Raw genomic sequence first — 21,743 nt, forward strand, 5'->3', positions numbered from 1 at the left:
TTTGCTGAAAGAAAAAACCCTGCCAGACCAGAATTCTATAACCAGAGAAAATACCTTTCAAAAATGAAGGTGAACTGAAATACAATTCCTAAGTAACTGAATTCTGTGCTTGTAATTGCTATGTGGTGCCTGTTCAGTGTCAGTTACTGGGTAAGATTCTAAAGATAAGTATATAAACAAGGAAAATACGGTTTGTTTTATGGCTTCAAAAATATTCCATGAACCTCATGAGAGACCATCAAAGTTCTGGATTCCTTCAAAGAATAACAGGGAAAGAGGCAAAAACAACAACAACAACAGCAACAACAAAAACACTAAGTTTTGTTTTGTTTTAATTTTTTTTTTTTTTTCCTCAAAAGACATTTCAGCCGGGTGCAAAGGCTCATGCCTGTAATCTCAGCACTTTGGGAGGCCAGGGCGGGCAGATTTTCTGAGCTCCGGAATTCAAGACCAGCCTGGGCAACATGGCGAAACTCCGTCTCTACTAGAAGAAATACAAAGAATTGGCCGGGCATGGTGGCACACGCCTGTAATCCCAGCTACTCAGGAGGCTGAGGCACAAAAATTGCTTGAACCTGGGAGGTGGAGGTTGCAGTGAGCCGAGATGGTGCCACTGCACTCCAGCATGGGCGACAGAGCTAGACTGTGTCTCCACAACAACAACAACAACAAACAAGACATTCCATAGTGAGTTGAGTTGATCTAGTCAAGACTATGTTTTTATTCACAAAGTATATTAGACACTCATAAATTAATATGTTCTTTCCATAAGAGATGGCTGGATGTGTTTTCTTGTTGTTGTTTTGTTTTTGAGACAGATTCTCGTGCCTCAGCCTCCCGGGTAGCTGGGATTACAGGCGCCCACCACTATGCCCGGCCAATTTTTGTATTTTTAGTAGAGACTTCACCATGTTGACCAGGCTGGTCTCGAACTCCTGGACTCAAGCAATCTGTCCGCCATGGCCTCCCAAAGTGCTGGGATTACAGGCGTGAGCCGCCGCGCCCAGCCAGGATTTGCAACATAGCTGTGAATCAACGAATTTTTTTTGTTGTTATTTGAGGCTAATGTTTCCAAAATCATGGAAAAAGGCTGCCTGGCAAATCAGTATAATCCTACTATTTAGGCCTAAAACAGTCTCCTTACTTTATGAAAAAGGCCGTGATGGGACCAGCGCCCCCACAGCCACACTGCAAAGAGGGTCCCAGACTCAGGCTCAGAAGAAGCAGCGCTCCCTGCAGGCCCCGAAGCTGGGTGGCACAAGCCGGGTCGCGGCTCTGGCGGGAGCGCGGGGACCTGCGGATCAGCACTAGCGCCGCTTCCAGGGTCATCCCTACTCTCAGGCTCAGGGGGCCCATCAGCCGCATGACCTGAAGCTTCTCTCAAGGAACCCCAAACCCCCCAACGCGGGGGACAGTCTCATCCGAGGACCACCCAGCCCCAGGGTGGCCCAGTCCCTGGACCGCTCCGCCACAGGACAACTCGGGGACTGCCCATCCGAGCACATCCTGTCCGAGGACCTTCCAGCGCCTGAGGATGCAGAGCAGGGGAAGGCGGGAAGCTCAGATGTCGTGTCCAGTACCTGCAGGCCCCAGAACTCGAGGCAGCCCCTGAGGCCGCAGTCCAGCCAGCGAGTAGGGAGGCCGGTCCAGGCAGCTCCGGCTCTCGCACGTCGGGGGACTCCCCAGGCTCCAGGCTCGCTCTGCGGCGCTCCTCCCGGGCCAGCTTCAGGATGGAAACGACAGGGCCCGCACGAGCATCTGAACGCTGATGTCCCGGCCATTCCTTAGCTGGCCGGCTCACCCCCATGCCCTGCCCTCGGTGTGGTGTGGTGGGGTGGGGTGTGGGTAGGTGTTCCTTTCTGCTCTGAGAGGCTATTGCCGCTCCATTTTAAGCCACAGGATGTAAAAGGAAATTTCACATGACTTGCAGAACTGTCTGGGAAGTCCCCACCTCTCCTCATAGCAGACTCCTGCGGTAAGCCACGCTAACCTCCCTCCTCTCCAGATTCTCTTCTGCTAAAGATTTTCTTGGTTTCTTTCCTCCTCTGAGCTGGCTCACACCTTATGTGGGTGTGCTTCGAGCGCTCAGAGGTCACAGACGCTCATTCCCGCCCTTTGGCGGCGTGGTTCCGACCCCCAACTCTTCCCGCAGCCCAGCCCCTCCTGCTGGGAAGGTGAAGAGGCGTCTGGCGGGACTTCTCAAGGGATGGAAGAACCTAGAAAGGAAAAAGTAGGCCACATAGCAAGAATGCCAGGGGTGCCTCAGACGGCATAGCGGCTTCTCAGACTGATCCTGTTAAAGAACTGAAATAGCAGATGCTCCCTGAAATGTTTCAAGACCCCCAAATGTGGTGACTGTCCCTGGAGAGGTACCCAGAAGCCATTTAAATCCTTTTGCCTGGAGAATCTGCAGAGCTCACAGTGGCTCATTCTGCCTTTGGCAGAAAAATAAAATGCCTCAGGTAACAAACTGAGTCAGTTTTTACATTTTCCCTCTAGGCCCTGACTTTAGGCAGCAGCTGCCTGAAGCCGGCTCTATAATTTATTTTTATCTTGCTCCTCTGTGACATGAGACAAGAAATACACCTAAAGTCATCACCCCTAATCTGGAGTTTCGCTTTCCACAATTTCAGTTACAGGAGGTCAACCTTGGTCCAAAAATATTAAATGGAAAATTCCAGAAATAAACAGTAAGTTTTAAATTGCATTCTGTTCTGAGTGGTGGGATGAAATCTTGCCCTGTCCAGCTCTGTCCCACCCAGTACATGAATCGCCCCTTTGTCCAGCATATCCACCCTGTCTATGCTACCTTCCCATTAGTCACTTATTAGCTGTCTCAGTTATCAGATCAGGAAGAAAAGTAAGTACAGGATAAGATATTTTGAGAGACAGAGAGAGAGACCACATTTACATAACTTTTATTGCAGTATATTGTTATAATTGTTCTATTTTATTATTGTTGTTATTAATCTCTTACAGTGCCTAATTTATAAATTGAACTTTATCATAAGGCCGAGCGTGGTGGCTCATGCCTGTAATCCCAGCACTTTGGGAGGCCAAGGTGGCCAGATCACCTGAGCTCAGGAGTTCAAGACCAGCCTGGCCAACATGGTAAAACCCTGTCTCTACTAAAAATACGAAAATTAGCCAAGTGTGGTGGCACGCACCTGTAATCCCAGCTACTCAGGAGGCTGAGGCAGGAGAATTGCTTGAACCTGGAAGGCAGAGGTTGCAGTAGCCAAGATCGCACTACTGCACTCCAGCCTGGGTGACAGAGCAAGACTCTGTCTCAAAAAAAATACATAAATAAATAAACTTTATCATAGTTATGTATGCATAGAAAAAAACCCAGAGTATAATATATATAGGGTTTGTTACTATCTGAGGTTTCAGACATCCACTGGGGGGTCTTGGGGGTCTTGGAATGTGTCCCCCATGGATAAGGAGGGGGGAAACTACTGTAGTTCTCTGTATAAGTGCCTGACCAAGCATTTTACAAATAATGGTATAATTTGCTGTCAGTGCATCACATTGTGTCTGTCAAAATGTTATTTTCTTGAACTTTAAGTAACCAAAACAATCTCAAAAACAATAAGGTTGGAGGTCTCATACATCTGGATTTGAAAACTTACTGCAAAGCTACGGTAATCAAAACAGTGTGGTACTGGCATAGAAACAGCCCCATAGACTAATGGAATAGAACAGAAAGCCCAGAAATAAACCTTTATATATATGGTCAAATGATTTTTATTTTTTTTTGGAGATGGAGTCTTGCTCTGTCACCCAAGCAGGAGTGCAGTGGTATGATCTTGGCCCACTGCAACTTCCATCTCCCAGGTTTAAGTGATTCTCCTGCCTCAGCCTCCCGAGTAGCCGAAACTACAAGCACACACCACCACACCCAGCTAATTGCTGTATTTTTAGTAAAGACAGGGTGTCACCATGTTAACCAGGCTGGTCTCAAACTCCTGACCTCAGGCAATCCACCCGCCTTGGCCTCCCAAAGTGCTGGGATTACAGACGTGAGCCACCCCGCCAGGCTTTCAAATGATTTTTTTTAACAATGATACCAAGACCATTTACAGGGAAAGAATAGTTTTTTCAAAAAATAGTGTTGAAAGGCTGGATATGGTGACTCATACCTGTAATCCCAGCACTTTGGGAGGCTGAGGCAGGAGGATTGCTTGAGCCCAGGAGGTCAAGATCAGCCTGGACAATATAGTGAGGCCTCATCTCTGAAAAAATAAAAATAATAAATGTTGTAGGGAGATTGAGTCTCCACATGCAACAGAATGAAGCTGGACCCTTACCCAGTGCCATATGCAAAAATTAACTCAAAATGGATCAAAGACCTAACTATAAAAGCTAAAACTGTAAGAATCTTAGGCTGGGCACAGTGGCTCACGCCTGTGGTCCCAGCATTTTGGGAGGCCGAGGCGGGCAGATCACGAGGTCAGGAGATCAAGACCACCCTGGCTAACACGGTGAAACCTCATCTCTAATAAAAATACAAAAAAATTAGCTGGGTGTGGTGGCAGGCACCTGTAGTCCCAGCTACTCGGGAGGCTGAGGCAGGAGAATGGTATGAACACAGGAGGCGGAGCTTGCAGTGAGCCAGGATTGTGCCACTGCACTCCAGCCTGGGTAACAGAGTGAGACTCCGTCTCGAAAAAAAAAAAAAAAACTATAAGAATCTTAAAAGAAGTCTTCCTTATATCAGATTTGACAATGATTTCTTGAATGTGATACCAAAAGCATGGGCAACATAAGAAAAAATAGATAAATTGAAGTCAATAAAAATGGAAAACTTTTTCCCTGGTGGTCTAGTGGTTAGAAAACAAACAAACAAACAAGTTTAAAACTTTGTGCATTAGAGGACACAATCAGTTCAGGCGCAGTGGCTCACACCTGTAATCCCAGCACTTTGGGAAGCCAAGGCAGGAGGATCACTTGAGGTCAGGAGTTCAAGACTAGCCTGGGCAACATGGTGAAACTTCATCTCTACTAAAGATACAAAAATTAGCCAGGCATGGTGGCACACAACTGTAATCCCAGCTACTTGGGAGGCTGAGGTGGGAGAATTGCTTGAACCCAGGAGGTGGAGGTTGCAGTGAGCTAAGATCATGCCATTGCTCTCCAGCCTGGGCAACAGAGCAAGGCTCCATCCCTTACCACCAAAAATATTATTTTCTTTTATGTGATAGTGATACCAATTCCTAAAATTAATATAGGGCCACAATTATGCAGAGTTCTTGGTTGGATTTATGGATGATAAAAGTCTTTTCCCATTATGACTGACCTTTCCACTCTTTTTTTTTTTTTTTTGAGATGGAGTGTCACTCTGTCGCCCAGGCTGGAGTGCAGTGGCGCAATCTCAGCTCACTACAAGCTCTGCCTCCTGGGTTCATGCCATTTTCCTGCCTCAGCCTCCCGAGTAGCTGGGACTACAGGCGCCCACCACCACGCCTGGCTAATTGTTTGTATTTTTAGTAGATACGAGGTTTCACCATCTTGGCCAGGCTGGTCTTGAACTCCTGACCTTGTGATCCACCTGCCTCGGCCTCCCAAAATGCCGGGATTACAGGCATGAGCCACCGAGCCTGGCCCCACCTTTTCACTCTTAAATCCAGATTTTTAATGAACAGAAGTTCTTGGCCTTAATAGAGTCAAATGTTTTTAATGGAGTCATTGTTTCCCTTTGTGGCTAGTGCTTTTTATGCTGTTTGAGAGCACTGTGCTTATCTGAGGTTTTATGAAAAGGCAGTACTGAGAGTTGGCAGGTGGATCTGCTTGCCCAAGGCTGGGAGCGAGAATCAGTGTAGAGCCAGTTGGGCTTCAAGGCCTTTGCCCAAGACTTTCTAAAAGCTGCTTTAAGGTTTTACTATGTCAGGGCTACAAGTTCTGCCTTTGAAACTTTCCACATTCTCTAGCAACTTAAATTCTTTTTTTTTTTTTTTGAGACGGAGTTTTGCTCTTGTTGCCCAGTCCTTTCTTTCTGACAGATTTGATGGCAAACTCATTCCTAATTGCCTGGCTTCTTGGTAGATGAAACCCCCTTCTCTTCCCAGGGCACTAGGTCTCTCTTTGGGAATCTGCCCCTGTAGAGAGCTGCCCTGTTCACTGCAGCTCCAAAATACTGGAGAAAAACTTAAATGTCTACCAGCAGAGGGAGGAAGAGTTAAAATAGAGAAAATCCAGGAAACTGAATTCTGTGCACCCACTAAATACTGCCAATGTGCTGGCAGGAAAGGATATCCAAGAGATGAGAAAACATATTTTGCAGTCTAATAGATTTAGCATGCTTACCTTTTTGTAAAATAAATAATATACTGTGTGTATTAATATAAGAAAATTCTGGGCCAGGTGCAGTGGCTCACATCTGTAATCCCAGCACTTTGGGAGGTCGAGGCAGGCAGATAACCTGAGGTCAGGAGTTTGAGACCAGCCCGGACAACATGTCTCTACTAAACATACAAAAATTAGAGGGGCATGGTGGTGGGTGCCTGTAATCCCAGCTACTTGGGAGACTGAGGCAGGAGAATCACTTGAACCCGGGAGGTGGAGGTTGCAGTGAGCTGAGACCATGCCATTGCACTCCAACCTGGGCAACAAGAGCAAAACGCCATCTCAAAAAAAAGAAAAAGAAAAAGAAAAAAAGAAAATTCTGGGAGGACAATATGAATAGTTACCTATTGGAGGGGAGGGGTTTTCTCTTGGAAGGGCAGGTACTGAGGGCTGTGGTGAGCCGAGGGCAGATGCTTCACTTTAATTTTATATCTTTTTAAAAAATTGTGGGATTATTGTTGGTTTTAACCTTATTTGTATGCTTTATCTTCCTCTGTAATTTTCCTAGTGAAACTAATAAAACAAGGCCAAGGCAGGAGGATCTCTTGAGGCCAGGAGCTCGAGAGGAGGCTGGGCAACATAGTGCAACCCGCCTTCTCTACAAAAAAATAAACAATAATACATAATAAAACAGGGCAGGGTGTGGTAGCTCATGCCTGTAATCCCAGCACTTTGGGAGGCTGAGGCAAGTGGATCTCTTAAATCTAGGAGTTCGAGACCAGCCTGGGCAACATGGTGAAACCCTGTCTGTACTAAAAATACAAAAATTAGCTGGGTGTGGTGGCGCAGGCCTATAGTCCCAGCTACTCAGGCGGCTGAGGTGGGAAGATTGCTTGAGCTTCGGAGGCAGATGTTGCAGTGAGCTGAGATCATGCCACTGTACTCCAGCCTTGGCCACAGAGTGAGACCCCATCTCAAAAACAAACAAAAACAAAAACAAACCTCACACACTAAATAAAACAAAGTTAAGACAGGAAGGAGAGAGATTTTGTCTCAGATGTCTGCATCCTTACCTTCAGACCCAGTCTCTGACTTTGTTTTCTAGTGAGATAAAAATAAATAGGCCCCCACATGTCAGAGTTGAATGATTTCTTAGAACTCGTGATCCAGTGACCTCCTTTTTCAGGTGATGCAGGGGTGCCGGCCCTCACCTGGAACCTGCAGTTCAGGTTAAAATGTTGGCTTTGCCACTTGTGGGTAAGGTCCCCTTTAGGGAAGTGATTTTCCATCTCCTAGCCTTCACCCCTGCAAACCCAGCTCCATGGTAATTGTAACAGTTTTCTGACTGCTAACAACCTACAGAAAAGAAGCTGGAGAAAAGTCACAACAAACAGGAGACAAGTGCAGTCCTCCTGTCTGGAGGTGTTAAAATATTCGGGCGGTGCTCAAAGGGCACCAGTGACATTTGTTTGCATCTCAATGGCATTTAAGGATAATCTATGCTGAGCAGCTTATTTCATCAAGCAGGAAGTGAGACCCAGAAAGCAAAGTCTTTTGCCAAAGAGTTCCTTAGGCAGGGACAGGTTCCAGGACAAAGGAGAGAGTGAAAGCTGCAGGAAGCTTGTCCTTCTCTCCACTAAGGAGACAATTCACAATCCCCAAAATGTGTCTCCTTTCTGGGAACTCTTTATCTCTGCACCTTGAAAGCTATCATCTCTCCAGGTGTTCTGGGCTCTGGTAGCCTTTTCTAGATAGGTGGGGAAGAGGTAGAGAACTTAGGCCAAGACTTGTCAAGAGTTTCCAAGGGCAATTTGGGGAAAAGATGAGAGGAGGACATGAACATCTGTTCCCAGCTGGGCTCATTGACTCAATCCTGTAATCTTAGCACTTTGGGAAGCCAAGGCGGGAGGTTTGCCTTGCAGTCAGGAGTTCGAGACCAGCCTGGGCAACATAGCGAGACCCCCACCCTCCCTGCCACCATCTCTACTAAAAAAGAAAAAAGAAAATAGACATCTGTCCCTAGGTGGAGGAGGGTTGGTGTTTCTCTTAGGAATACCTGTTTCCATGGAAACATAGGGATGACACCAGTCCCCAGGCCTGAGTTGGCAGCACAGCTCTACCGCACAACCATGCGGGCTGAGAGCAGTTTCAGTGTCCACCCTCCTGGAGCCGTGCTGCTCAGGAGAAATATAATGTCAGCCACATATGTAACATTACGTTTACACTAATAACATTCAACTAAAAAGAACCAGGTGAAATTGATTTTAATAATACATTTCATTTTACCCAATATGTCAAAAATGTTATTTTCACATGTAATGCATATAAAAATCACTGAGATAGGTCACATTCTGTTTTCCATGGTAAATCTCCAAAATCTGGTGTGTGTCCTGTCGTCTACTCACAGCACAACTCAATTCGGCCTCGCCATGTTCAGGTGCACAATCATTGTGTGTGGACCAGGGCTGCTGTCCTGGATAGCACAGGACAAGTGAACACGAACACCCTCCCTGCCCTTCTCCTCCCACACCTGCTAGTCTGTAAGAGGAGGAAGCAGCCCTTCTCGGGTTCAGTGTGGTAGTTCATGGTGGCTGAGACGGGCCAGAATCCCAGGGCTGCTCTGAGAGAGGAGCTCAGTCTGTGCTCTGGCCTTCTCTCTCAAAGAAATGGAGATAGGCCCAGCACTTTGGGAGGCTGAGGCAGGAGGATTGCTTGAGCCCAGGAGTTCAAAATCAGCCTGGGGAGCATAGTGAGACTTTGTCTCTAGAAAACAACAACAACAACAAAAATTATCCAAGTATGGTAGCACATGCCTGCAGTCGAGGCTGCTCAGAAGGCTGAGATGAAAGGATTGCTTGAGCCCCAGAGGTTGAGACTACAGTAAGCTGTGATCACACCACTGTACTCCAGCCTGGGTGACAGAGAAGACCCTGTCTCAAAAAAAAAAAGAAAAGAAAAGAAAAGAAAGAAAAGGGATAAAAGGATTAGGGGAGATTGTGAGGACTAATTAATACACATGAGGACTTAGGGTAGGACTTGGCCTAAAGGAAAGAGCAAAATACACCAACACTTGTGCTCCACATGGTCTTGTTTTGTCCCGCCAAGCACACAGCTAGAGTTGCCTCAAAATGCTGGCAGGGAAATTGCCAGAAGGGAGTGCCCCATACCATCCCAAGATGGGGTTGGTTGGGATTCCAAAGAAAGAAGCACTAGCCAGGCGCAGTGGCTCATGCCTGTAATCCCAGCACTTTGGGAGGCCGAGGCGGGTGGATCACAAGGTCAGGAGTTCGAGACCAGCCTGGCCAACATGGTGAAACCCCATCTCTACTAAAAATAGAAAAATTAGCCGGGCATGGTGGCGCACGCCTGTAGTCCCAGCTACTTGGGAGGCTGAGACAGGAGAATAGTTTGAACCTGGGAGGCGGAGGTTGCAGTGAGCTGAGATCGTGCCATTGCACTCCAGCCTGGGGACAAGAGTGAAACTAAGTCTTAAAAAAAAAAAAAAAAAAAAAAAAAAAAAAAAAGCACTAACACCAGTAACACCAGGGTGATGAATCCAGAGCATTTATTAGGGAACCTACATACAGAGGCTGCAGCAACCCACTCGAGGGACAGCGAGAGACAAGCATCTTCTCCCTAGGTATGTCTGCAGTAGGGGGACCAGGGTTTATAGATGTCAGGGTTGAAGGAATTTAGCTGAGGGTCAGGGCCAGTTTCTTTCTGTGTTTTTGGCAAACAACCTAGGTATCTTTATCAATGCTGAGGCCCAGCTTTGGGTCAAGCCTGCAGGGAAAAACCTGTAGCTGACTGCATCACAGAGTGGTTAAGGCACTGTGTGATTTTTGATCAAGAATGTTAGGGGAGCCAGAGATCACCTCCAGCCCCACTTTTAGCTCTCAGTGGTCTCTTCAACTGGATCTAGAAACCAAATGATACCAGGTAGATTTTTTTTTAAAGCAAATCATTTTTATTTTTATTTTTAAAAACTTATTTATTTATTCATGTATTTAGAGACGGGGTTTCACTGTTTCCTGGGCTGGAGAGCAGTGGTGCAATCACAGCTCACTGCAGCTTTGACTTTCTGGGCTCAAGTGATCCTCCCACTTCAACTTCCTGAATAGCTGGGACCACAGGCACCTACCATGCCAATCTAATTCTTCTTTTTTTAGACGAAGTCTCACTCTGTCATCCAGGCTGGAGTACAGTGGTGCAATTTTGGCTTACTGCATTCTCTGCCTCCCGGGTTCAAGCGATTCTCCTGCCTCAGCCTCCTGAGTAGCTGGGATTACAGGCGAGCTCCACCACGCCTGGCTAATTTTTGTATTTTTAGTAGAGACAGGGTTTCACCACGTTGGTCAGGTTGGTCTCGAACTCCTAACTTTGTGATCCGCCTGCCTCAGCCTCCCAAAGTGCTGAGATTACAGATGTGAGCCACCATGCCCAACCTCTGTAGTGAGTCTCAACAGAGCAGAGTTCATTGCACAGCATTGGATGACCCAGCCCCTACCCCCGATTTTACTTGAGAATGAATTTGGGGCCGGGTGTGGTGGCTCAAACCTGTAATCCCCTTTCCCAGCCCCAGCCCGGCCCTTGCAGCTGCAGAGATGTTGATGCCTAAGAAGAACCGGATTGCCATTTATGAACTCCTTTTTAAGGAGGGAGTCATGGTGGCCAAGAAGGATGTCCACATGCCTAAGCACCCGGAGCTGGCAGACAAGAATGTGCCCAACCTTCATGTCATGAAGGCCATGCAGTTTCTCAAGTCCCGAGGCTATGTGAAGGAACAGTTTGCCTGGAGACATTTCTACTGGTATCTTACCAATGAGGGTATCCAGTATCTCCGTGATTACCTTCATCTGCCCCCAGAGATTGTGCCTGCCACCCTATGCCGTAGCCGTCCAGAGACTGGCAGGCCTCGGCCTAAAGGTCTGGAGATTGAGCGACCTACGAGACTCGCAAGAGGGGAAGCTGACAGAGATACCCACAGATGAGTGCTGTGCCACCTGGTGCCGGCAAGAAAGCTGAGGCTGGGGCTGGGTCAGCAACCGAATTCCAGTTTAGAGGCGGATTTGGTCATGGACGTGGTCAGCCACCTCAGTAAAATTGGAGAGGATTCTTTTGCATTGAATAAACTTACAGCCAAAAATCCTTAAAACAAACAAACAAACAAACAAACCTGTAATCCCAGCACTTTGGGAGGCCGAGGCGGGCAGATCACGAGGTCAGGAGTTCGAGACCAGCCTGACCAACATGGTGAAATCCCCATCTCTACTAAAAATACAAAAATTAGCTGGGCATGCTGGCATGCGCCTGTAATCCCAGCTACTCAGGAGGCTGAGGCAGAAGCATCCCTTGAACCCGGGAGGCAGAGGTTGCAGTGAGCCGAGATTGCACCACTGCACTCCAGCCTGGGTGACGGAGCGAGACTCCATCTCAAAAAAATAAATAAATAAATAAAAGAATGACTTTAGGAGAGTTTGGCCAATACCACTAATAAGAATAGTTGTTGCTATCAGTTGAACAAAAACGAAAGAATCTTGCCAGTCCAACATTTAATTTCCTTCCCTCTTTCCCAACACTCCTCCTCCTCCCATTCTCTCTTCTGGAAATCCTGTCATAACATTGGAATCCATGAACTTAATCTCTGATTTTAACATTTTCATTTTCATCTCTGTACTTTTGCTCCACCTTCTGAGAGATTTCCCCAACTTGCTCTTCCAACTATTCTACTAAGTTTTTAATTACTCACCTTTTGTTTTTCCTCTGTTCTGAATGCTCTTTTTAACAGCAACCTCTTTGTTTTTCATAGTTATATATTCATATGCATACTCTAAATAGGCATAGATAGATGTGTAATATCATCAAAGAAATTCTAAATATGTGAACATGATAATACATTTCCATAGTTTTGTTCCTCCAACTTGCTTCTGTCTCTGCTTGTTTTGGCCCATATCTTCCATTTTAGAGGCTTTGTCTGGTAAATCTTGGTTGTCTGCTCAGGGTTTTTTCTTTTTTGGGGGATAGGGTCTCACTCTGTTGGTCAGTCTGGAGTGCAATGGTGCAACCAAAGCTTATTGTAGCCTCCATGGTTTCTTGGGCTTAAGTGATCCTCCTCCCTCAGCCTCCCAAGTAGCTGGGAGTACAGGCATTTGCCACCACTCCTGGCTAGTGTTATGAGTTTTTTTGTAGAGACAGGGTCTGGCTATGTTGCCCAGGCTGGGCTCCAACACCTAGGCTCAAGCAATCTGCCTGCCTCGGCCTCTCAAAGTGCTGAGATTACAGGCGTGAACCATTGCACCCAGCCTGGCTTGCAGTTAGAAATATGGAACTGAACAACTTATTGGAAGTCTTGTAAGTAGGTGTGGCTTGTTTACCTTGCAATTCACCGTGAGGTCTGTGTGTATGCTATTAGGGAACCCAATACGTGTATCAATATTACTTGCTTTTTCCTCATGTACTGTTCAGATTCTCCAGAAAGTAGTCTTCCAATTTCCTGTTTGAAGGGTTCTTATGTGGTTTTAGCATTCTGTGAGCCAAGAGGGCTGGGGCTGTCAGCAATCAGTTTGCATCAATGTAATTGCGTCCCTTTTTGAGGAATGTGCCCTTAAGCTCAACTGTTGTGGTCAACTCTCAGCCCAAAGGTCCTCTCAAGAAAATAGACCTCCAGCGTTCTGCTGAATGTTACCCAGCCCTGTGGGGTGGGGAATGGGATCGAGGGATCCAACTGCTTCTTAAACATCTTGATTCTCAGCTGAACTCGCTTCTGGCCTAGAATTATCTTTCTTAGGCTAGGTGTGGTGTCTCACACCTGTAATTCCAGCACTTTGGGAGGCCAAGGTGTGCAGATTACCTAATGTCAGGAGTTCGAGACCAGTCTGGCCAACATGGCAAAACCCCCGTCTCTACTAAAAATACGAAAATTAGCCAGGTGTGGTGGCACACACCTGTAATTCCAGCTACTTGGGAGGCTGAGGCAAGAGAGTTGCTTGAACCTGGGAGGTGGAGGTTGCAGTGAGCTGAGATTGTGCCATTGCACTCCAAGCCTGGGCAACAGACTGAGACTCTGTCTAAAAAATAAATAAATAAATAAATAAATTTAAAAAATCATCTTTCTTAGGTTTGCAAAATTAATCATTAGTTTTCTTTATTTTTCCAGCTTTCAAAGTTGATTGCTGTTTTCTCGTTTCCTGTTAAGGGAGTATTAGATTTTTCCAATGTTGGCTACCACAATATCTCTAACTCTATACCCTCTTCTTGCAATAATTTTGACACTTGAAAAGTAGAGTCTCTGTTTTCTCCTCTTAGATTTGCATGGGTTTTTGACTAGGATGAAGTTGATTCTCTGCAACTTCTAAAATGAGGTCATAAAAGAAGGTCATTTCCACCTGGTTTTCTTGGGAAGCTATGTCATGAAGAAGCCCAAACTAGTCCATGCAGAGATACCACATAGTGGGGCTATGTGTAGTTGTTTCAGCCAAAAGTCCAGTGATGCCCTGGTCAACAGGGATTATCATTTTTTTTAATTAAATTAAATTTATTTTATTTTATTATTATTTATTTATTTATTTTTGAGACAGAGTCTTGCTCTGTTGCCCGGGATGGAGTGCAGTGGTGCGGTCTCAGCTCACTGCAACCTCCGCCTCCTGGTTCAAGCAATTCTCCTACCACCTCAGGCTCCCGAGTAGCTGGGATTACAGGCGCCCACCACCATGCCCGGCTAATTTTTGTATTTTTAGTAGAGATGGGGTTTCACCATGTTGGCCAGGCTGGTCTCGAACTCCTGACCTCAGGTGATCCACCTACCTTGGCCTCCCAAAGTGCTGGGATTACAGGTGTGAGCCACCGTGCCTGGCCTCTTTTTTTTTTTTTTTCTTTTTTAAATAAATAGAGATGAGGTCTTGCCATGTTGCTCAGGCTGGTGTCAAACTCCTGGGCTTAAGCGATCCTCCTGCCTTGGCCTCCCAAAGTGCTGGGATTATAGGCATGAACCACCTTGCCCAACTATCAATTCTATTTTTTTTTGAGACAGAGTCTCCCTTTGTCACCCAGGCTGGAGAGCAACGGCGAAACCTCGGTTCACTGCAACCTCTGCCTCCCAGGTTCAAGCAATTCTCCCTGCCTCAGCCTCCCGAGTAGCTGGGATTACAGGAGCCCACCACCATGCCCGGCTAATTTTTGTATTTTTAGTAGAAACAGGGTTTCGTCATGTTGGTCAGGCTGGTCTCGAACTCCTGACCTCAGGTGATCTGCCCACCTCGGCCTCCCAAAGGGCTGGGATTACAGTGATGAGCCACCACGCCCGGCCTTATTGATTCTTAATATGTGAATGAAGATGACTCCCGATGATCCAGCCCCAGCCATTGAGTTGTCCTAGCTGAGGCCCTAGACACTGTGGAACAGAGACAAGCCATCCCTGGTCTGCTCAGTTTAAATTCTTGAGCCATAGGATTTGTGTGTATAGTAAATGATGGTGGCAAAGCTGCAGCACTAAATTTGGGGATGGTCTGTGATGCACCAATAGTAATGGGAATATCTGTTTTCTTTCTTTCTTTTCTTTTTTTTTTTTAAGATGGAGTCTCACTCTGTCGCCCAGGCTGGCATGCAGTGGTGTGATCTCAGCTCACTGCAACCTCTACCTCCCAGCTTCAAGTGATTCTCCTGCCTCAGCATCCTGAGTAGCAGGGATTACAGGAGCATGCCACCGTGCCTGGCTACCATTGTATGTTTTAAATATCCACTGAAAGTCATTTACTATTCCCCTAAAATCATCCACACTTTTCCATCTCCCTTTCTCTTAAGCAGTAAGGTGTAAAAGCATTTGCACCCCATTGAGATACTGGGCAATCACTCTGTGGTTCTCCCCTGTGCACACCAATAAACTTCTGTGCCTTCTCTCCAATTAATCTGCCTTTTGTGAGTTGATTTTTTAGCAAATCTTCAGAGGGCAAAGGGGAAATTTTCCCTTGGCCCCTGAAACCACTTGACCCCATTAGCTCTCATTCTGACCAGCAAAGTAAAGAAGAATGGATCCCCCAGGATTTTCTAGGATATCTAAGTTTGTCATATTTCCATTGTGAAGTTTGTAGTAGATACACTGTCAAATCATACTTGACATTTTATTTTTTATTTTAAAGAATCTTTTATTTTAGATTCAGGGAGTACCTGTGCAGGTTTGTTACCTGGGTATATTGTGTGATGCTGAGGTTTGGGGTACGATTGATCCTATCACCCAGGTACTGAGCACAGTACCCAATAGTGAATTTTTCAACCCCCACCCCCTCTCTCCCCTCTCTAGTAGTGCGTGCCTTCCTTCCGTCCTTCCTTCTTCTTCCTCTTTTCCTTCCTTCCTTCTTCTCTCTCTCCTTCTCTCTTTCTCTCTTTCTTTCTTTCTTTTTGTCTCACTCTGTCGCCCAGGCTGGAGTGCAGTGGCACGATCTTGGCTCACTGCAACCTCCGCCTCTGGGTTCAAGCAATTCTCCTGCCTCAGCCTCCCAAGTAGCTGGGACCACAGGGGCACACCGCCATTCCTTGCTAATTTTTTGTATTTTAGTAGAGATGGGGTTTCGCCATGTTGCCCAGGCTGGTCTCGAACTCCTGAACTCAGGCAATCCTCCTGCCTCGTCCTCCCAAAGTGCTGGGTTTACAGGCATGAGCCACTGCACCCGGCCATAGAGTCGCAGTGCCCAGTTTCTATTGTTGCCATCTTACTGTCCATGAGTACCCAATTTTCAGCTCCCACTTTTTTTTTTTTTTTTTTTTTTTTTTAATGAGGCGGAGTCTAGCTGTGTGGCCAGGCTGGAGTGCAGTGGCGCAATCTCGGCTCACTGCAACCACTGCCTCCCGGGTTCAAGAGATTCTCCTGCCTCAGCCTCCCGAGTAGCTGGGACTGCAGGTGCCCGCCACTACGCCCAGCTAATTTTTGTATTTTTAGTAGAGACGGGGTTTCACCATGTTGGCCAGGATGGTCTCAATCACCTGACCTTGTGATCCGCCCACCTCGGCCTGCCAAAGTGCTGGGATTACAGGCGTGAGCCACTGCGCCTGGCCTTCTCTCTCTCTCTCTTTAAAAGATGTTATAAGATCCAAAAACCAAGCTGCTGCCACGGTTGCCGCCATATTCTTGGGTCTCCATTTTAAAGCTTTCTGGGAAGAGAGAGCCTCTCATTTCTCTTTGACAATTAATCCTTCGGGCAAGGAACTTACAGTTTTGTGTGAACTAACTTGTTTATTCTGAATCCAGCTCATTGTCTTTTAGCCGGGCATCTGGGGGAACTTCTCACGGTTCTCAGGGGCACTGTTCACCTGCAGCCAAGTTTCCTGACGGTTGCCCCGTCTCCTCCACAATGAGCGGCCCTTTACCGCTCCTTCAAGACCGAACCCTCAAGTCAATGTGCGCGGCTCTTCAACCAGGCACCCCACAGAGCTAGAGCAGAATAAAAAATCCTGCCGCTTCTTCAAAGAAATGAGTTTCCATTTTTAAAAGAGTCTAGTTTTAGGGAAAAATCAGTAGTTTTCCTTTCCTCTTATTGCTTCAATTTCCTTCACCACAAATAACTCGGTGGTCAGTCCTGCCACATCAACACCTCTGGTTTTACCTGACCCACCTTTGTAAGACCAGCAAGAGAAACAATAGATGTATGTTTGTACAGTTGGGAGTTACCCCAATTGTTTTCTCTAGTTCTCTCCCAGATCTGATTTTTTTAAAGATCTGCCTTTAAATTTGGAAGTCTCACTTTTGTACCTAAAGACTGATAGCGCATATATATGTGTGTGTGTGTATATATATATATATATATATATACACACACATATATATATATACTTTTTTTTTTTTTGAGACGGAGTCTTGCTCTGTCGCCAGGCTGGAGTGCAGTGGCACGATCTGGGCTCACTGCAACCTCCGCCTCCCAGGTTCAAGCGATTCTCCTGCCTCAGCCTCCCGAGTAGCTGGGACTATAGGCGCGTGTCACCACGCCCGGCTCATTTTTTGTATTTTTAGTAGAGACGGGGTTTCACCATGTTGGCCAGGCTAGTCTTGAACTCCTGGCCTCAGGTAATCCACCCACCTCGGCCTCCCAAAGTGTTGAGATTACAGGCATGAGCCACCGTGCCCCGCCAATTTGATATTCTCTAAGGGCTGTTTTGTAACAAAATGGAAGCAGTGGAAAGCGAATAAAAGAAAGAATATACTTGGTTCTGAGCTCAACTTACAGTCAGAGTGACATGGTTTGGACATTGACCCCTCCAAATCTCACATTAAAATATAATCCTCAAAGTTGGAGGTGGGGCGTGGTGGGAGGTGTCACGGGAGCGGATCCCTCTGGAAGGGCTTGGTGACCTCCCTGTGGTAATGGGTCAATTCTTGCTCTATTAATTCATGCAAGAGCTGGCTGTTTAAAAAAGCCTGGCATCTCTTTTGCTTCCTCTCTTGTCATGTGACACACTTGCTCCCTGCTCATCTTCCGCCATGAGTGAAAATGTCCTGAGGCCTCCCCAGAGGCTGAGCAGATGCGGGTACCATGCTTACACGGCCTGCAGAACTGTGAGCCCAGAAATCTCTTTTCTTTAGAAATTGTCCAGTCTGAAGAATTCCATTAGCAATGCAAAATGGGCTAATACACACATTAAGTAAAGCGATCTAGGGGCAATTTAAATACATTTTTAAAGTTATTTTTTTTTCAAGAGTCATCTTGCATCAGTCTACTTCCTACTTACAGGCTGAAAGCAGTCACCGCCCATTACTCAATAAACAGGTAAGAAGAAAATGGGTAATCTAGTCACCTTCCAGGCCCTGGGTGTTTCTTCCTCATGCATATGCTAAACACCTTGAAATCCTTTAACAAGCGGTTGGTTCTGGTCTTGATATGCATGTGAGAAAATGAAGCCAAAGGACTATGGGCAGAATATGACCTGTGCATTGTGTGTGCCCGGAAGGGGAGAAGCTGGCTGTTGGTGGTGGTGGGGGGACAGGGATGGGGTGTATGTATGGGCATCCTATGGGAATTTTGTCTGGGTCCTGAAGGAAGACTTAAGTAATATATTCAAAAATAATAAGCCAGATTGTTTGATTAAAAATTCTCTCTCTCTTTCTTTTTCCTTTTTTTGAGACGGAGTGTTGCCTGAGCTGGAGTGCAATGGCGCGATCTCAGCTCACTGCAACCTCTGCCTCCTGGGTTCAAGTGATTCTCCTGCCTCAGCCTCCCAAGTAGCTGGGATTACAGGCACAGCCACCATGCCCGGCTAATTTTTGTATTTCTAGTAGAGACAATTTCACCATGATGGCCAGGCTGGTCTCGAACTCCTGACCTCAGGTGATTTGCCTGCCTCGGCCTCCCAGTGTGCTTGGATTACAGATGTGAGCCACTGCACCTGGCCTAAAAAATTCTTTAAGTGCATTAATTAGGATTTACTGCATAGCTCTTCCACGAAATACACCTTTATAACTGCAGAGGAGGAAATATGTAATATCCCTGAACCATAGAAAGATGCTCAGTAGAGATGTAGGCAAAGAACATGGAAAGACAGGACCATACATAATAGCCGATGAGTTTCAAAGCCCATAGATAACACAGGTACCATATAATACAGGTTGCCAGAGTTTGTCTTTTTTTTTTTTGAGATGGAATTTTGCTCTTGTTGCCCAGGCTGGAGTGCAATGGCATGATCTCAGCTCTCTAAAAACCTCCGCCTCCTGGGTTCAAGCTATTCTCCTGCCTCAGCCTCCCAAGTAGCTGGGATTATGGGCAAACACCACCATGCCCAGCTAATTTTTGTATTTTTAGTAGAGACAGGGTTTCACCATGTTGGCCAGGCTGGTTTCGAACTCCTGACCACAGGTGATCCTCCCGCCTCGGCCTCCCAAAGTGCTGGGATTACAGGCGTCATCCACCGCTCCTGGCCAAGTCAAAGTTGTTTTGACTTGCAGTGCTTAGAAAGGGCTTTGGAAACTTTTTACTAGGTTTGAGGGGTAATGGGAGAGACTTCATGCAAATTCATGCAAAATCCACAAGTGATAATAAAAGATAAGATATGTTCTAGGGACGATGAAGGGACCTGCTTGTGGATCACATGATGGTGATCATTGATAACTATTTGAAAATGACTCCAGATCCTGCAACTTTTTTCTACTATTATCTGCATGATAGGCTGCAAGAGGAGCAGTAGTTTGATGATATCTCCTCAGGTGACTTCCTGGCACTCATTCAGTCAATAGCTGATGCATGGCCTGCTAACCTGGTTATATTTCACTTCCCTCTGAAGCCTGTTTCTCAAAGCCACTACTTCAGGACTAAACATGCAGTCATTTGTAGATGCCTTTGTATGGGAAAGGAGACATCAATGGGGACTTAGGAAATCATCTAATTAAGAGGCTTTCACTCGAAGGTCTAATTTGAATGAATTCACATTGTAAGAGGGAAGTGAACTGTTAGGATTCACTGCAGGCTTTCCTGCGTCTCAGTCCAGTGCCTGTTAGCTCACGGCAGAAAGACATACTTGTCAAAGAAAGTTATTATGCATTACTTTCTTTACTTCCAAAGAAGAACGCAAATGTTCTCCATGAAAGCAAGGGCAGTAGGAGGAGGGGGCAGGCTGGGGCTCTTGCTCACTACCTGCTGCCCTGAAATCCTAGAGTCTTGTTTAACACCACATGGCACTTCTCATGTAGCATTTTTGAAGGACTTTCAATCCAGTGCCACCCCAAGGAAATATGCCTTCTCCGTAGCTGGCTGTCTGGAATGGACTCTGGGTGAGATTGGCCCCTCTGAATTCCTGGCTTTGCGGCACATGCAACCATCAGATCCAGGCTGCTCCCAGGAAAGGGACAAAACTTGGCAGAGGGCAGTTCCTGGGGGCAGAGGGCAATTCCTCTGAGGCCCCCAGCAGGTGGCACTCTGGCAGCTTGGGGAGGGAACTGGGAAGGGGTGGAGACCCTGGGTTCTGAAGGGCAGGAGTCGAGCTCCTGCAGTAGACCAGTCCTTTTGATGCTTGGCAAAGGCCCTGGCCCTCCAGGATGCAGCTATTGTCTTTAGCCTTGATATGTCATGGTCACATTTCCCAACTCAAATATTTTTTGTATCTCTTTATTATCCTAAGCCATAGCACTAATTAGTTGCCCCATAGAAGTTAGCACCCAGGGAAGAGCTGTTTCTCCATAAGCCATTTCACTTGGGATGAATGTGTCAATGCACAGGGAAGACCCGCCGCTGTAAAGCGGCATGGCCAGAGTCTGGTTCTGTGGCACTGCTGCTCGTGACACAGAGTCAGCAGCAAGGGCTTCCCCATGGGGAGGGCCTGTTTGCTTAGCATCATTCCTAGGGTCATTTGTGTGTGCCACGAAGAGGGGGCACCCCTTTCTCTTTCCTAACTCTGATCTTGAGAAGCATGCAATGGGCAGAGGAATTTGCAAATCTCACTTGTTTGAAAGTGATGTCCCTCCTTGAAAATTGCATTCAGCAATTTAAATGTAGACATTTTGACCTTACAGTACTCTGAGGATGGGATTAACAAATTCCCATTTAAAGCTACTTTTGCATTTGTTGAGGAATATTGTTGCATGCATGTGTTAATTTGCTAGGGCTTCCATAACAAAGTGCCACAGTGGGGGGCTTAAAGAACAGATATTTATTCTCTCCCGTTCTAGAGGTTGGAAGTCCAAAATCAAGGTGTGGGCAGAGTTGATTCCTCCTGAGTCCTCTCTCCTTGGCTTGCAGAAGGCTGAGGCTGTATTCTCCCTGTGTCCCCACTGTGTGTGTCTATGTCCTCATCTCTTTTTTTTTTTTTTTTTTTTGAGACAGAGTTTCGCTCTTGTTTCACAGGCTGGAATGCAATGGCGCAATCTCGGTTCACTGCAACCTCCGCCTCCTGGATTCAAGCGATTCTTCTGCCTCAGCCTCCTGAGTAGCTGGGATTACAGGCATGCGCAACCACGCCTGGCCAATTTTGTATTTTTAGTAGAGACAGGGTTTCTCCATGTTGGTCAGGCTGGTCTCGAACTCTCGACCTCGGGCGATCCTCCTGCCTCGGCCTCTCAAAGTGCTGGGATTACAGGTGTGAGCCGCTGCACCCAAGCCTTTTCTTATGGGACCCAGTCAGATTGGATTAGGGCCCACACATCCATATGACATCATTTTTAATTGATTACCTCTGTAAAGGCCCCTCCTCCAAATATAGTCACCTTCTGAGGTTCTTGGGGTTAGCATTTCAACATATGACATTTGAGAGGCACCATGCAGCCATCACACGGAATAATCTGTTAGTTTCAGTACTCAGGGTCTGCTCTGTTAGGACACACACTCCCAAAGAATTGCTTTTAGACCTTGGTCCTAAATGATTTTTCCTTTAAAAAGCTGGTATTCTTATTTTTATTTATTTATTTTTTTGAGACGGAGTCTCGCTCTATTGCCCAGGCCGGAGTGCAGTGGCACAGTCTCGGCTCAGTGCAACCTCTGCCTCCCAGG

General features: G+C 46.5%; 1 pseudogene, besides 1 other annotated feature; it reads left to right on the top strand.

Annotated features, from left to right (window-relative positions):
* Positions 10,852–11,438, top strand: RPS10P3 (ribosomal protein S10 pseudogene 3; annotated as a pseudogene).
* Positions 20,389–21,154: an enhancer, noted in NCBI's record as "OCT4-NANOG-H3K4me1 hESC enhancer chr9:90640714-90641479 (GRCh37/hg19 assembly coordinates)". NCBI's record gives its function as "activates a minimal SCP1, AML or CMV promoter by ChIP-STARR-seq in naive H9 embryonic stem cells {active_cell/tissue: H9 hESC(naive)}" and the evidence as "EXISTENCE:reporter gene assay evidence [ECO:0000049][PMID:30033119]".

This window comes from Homo sapiens, chromosome 9 (genome assembly GCF_000001405.40).
Source record: "Homo sapiens chromosome 9, GRCh38.p14 Primary Assembly".
Lineage (NCBI taxonomy): Eukaryota > Metazoa > Chordata > Mammalia > Primates > Hominidae > Homo > Homo sapiens.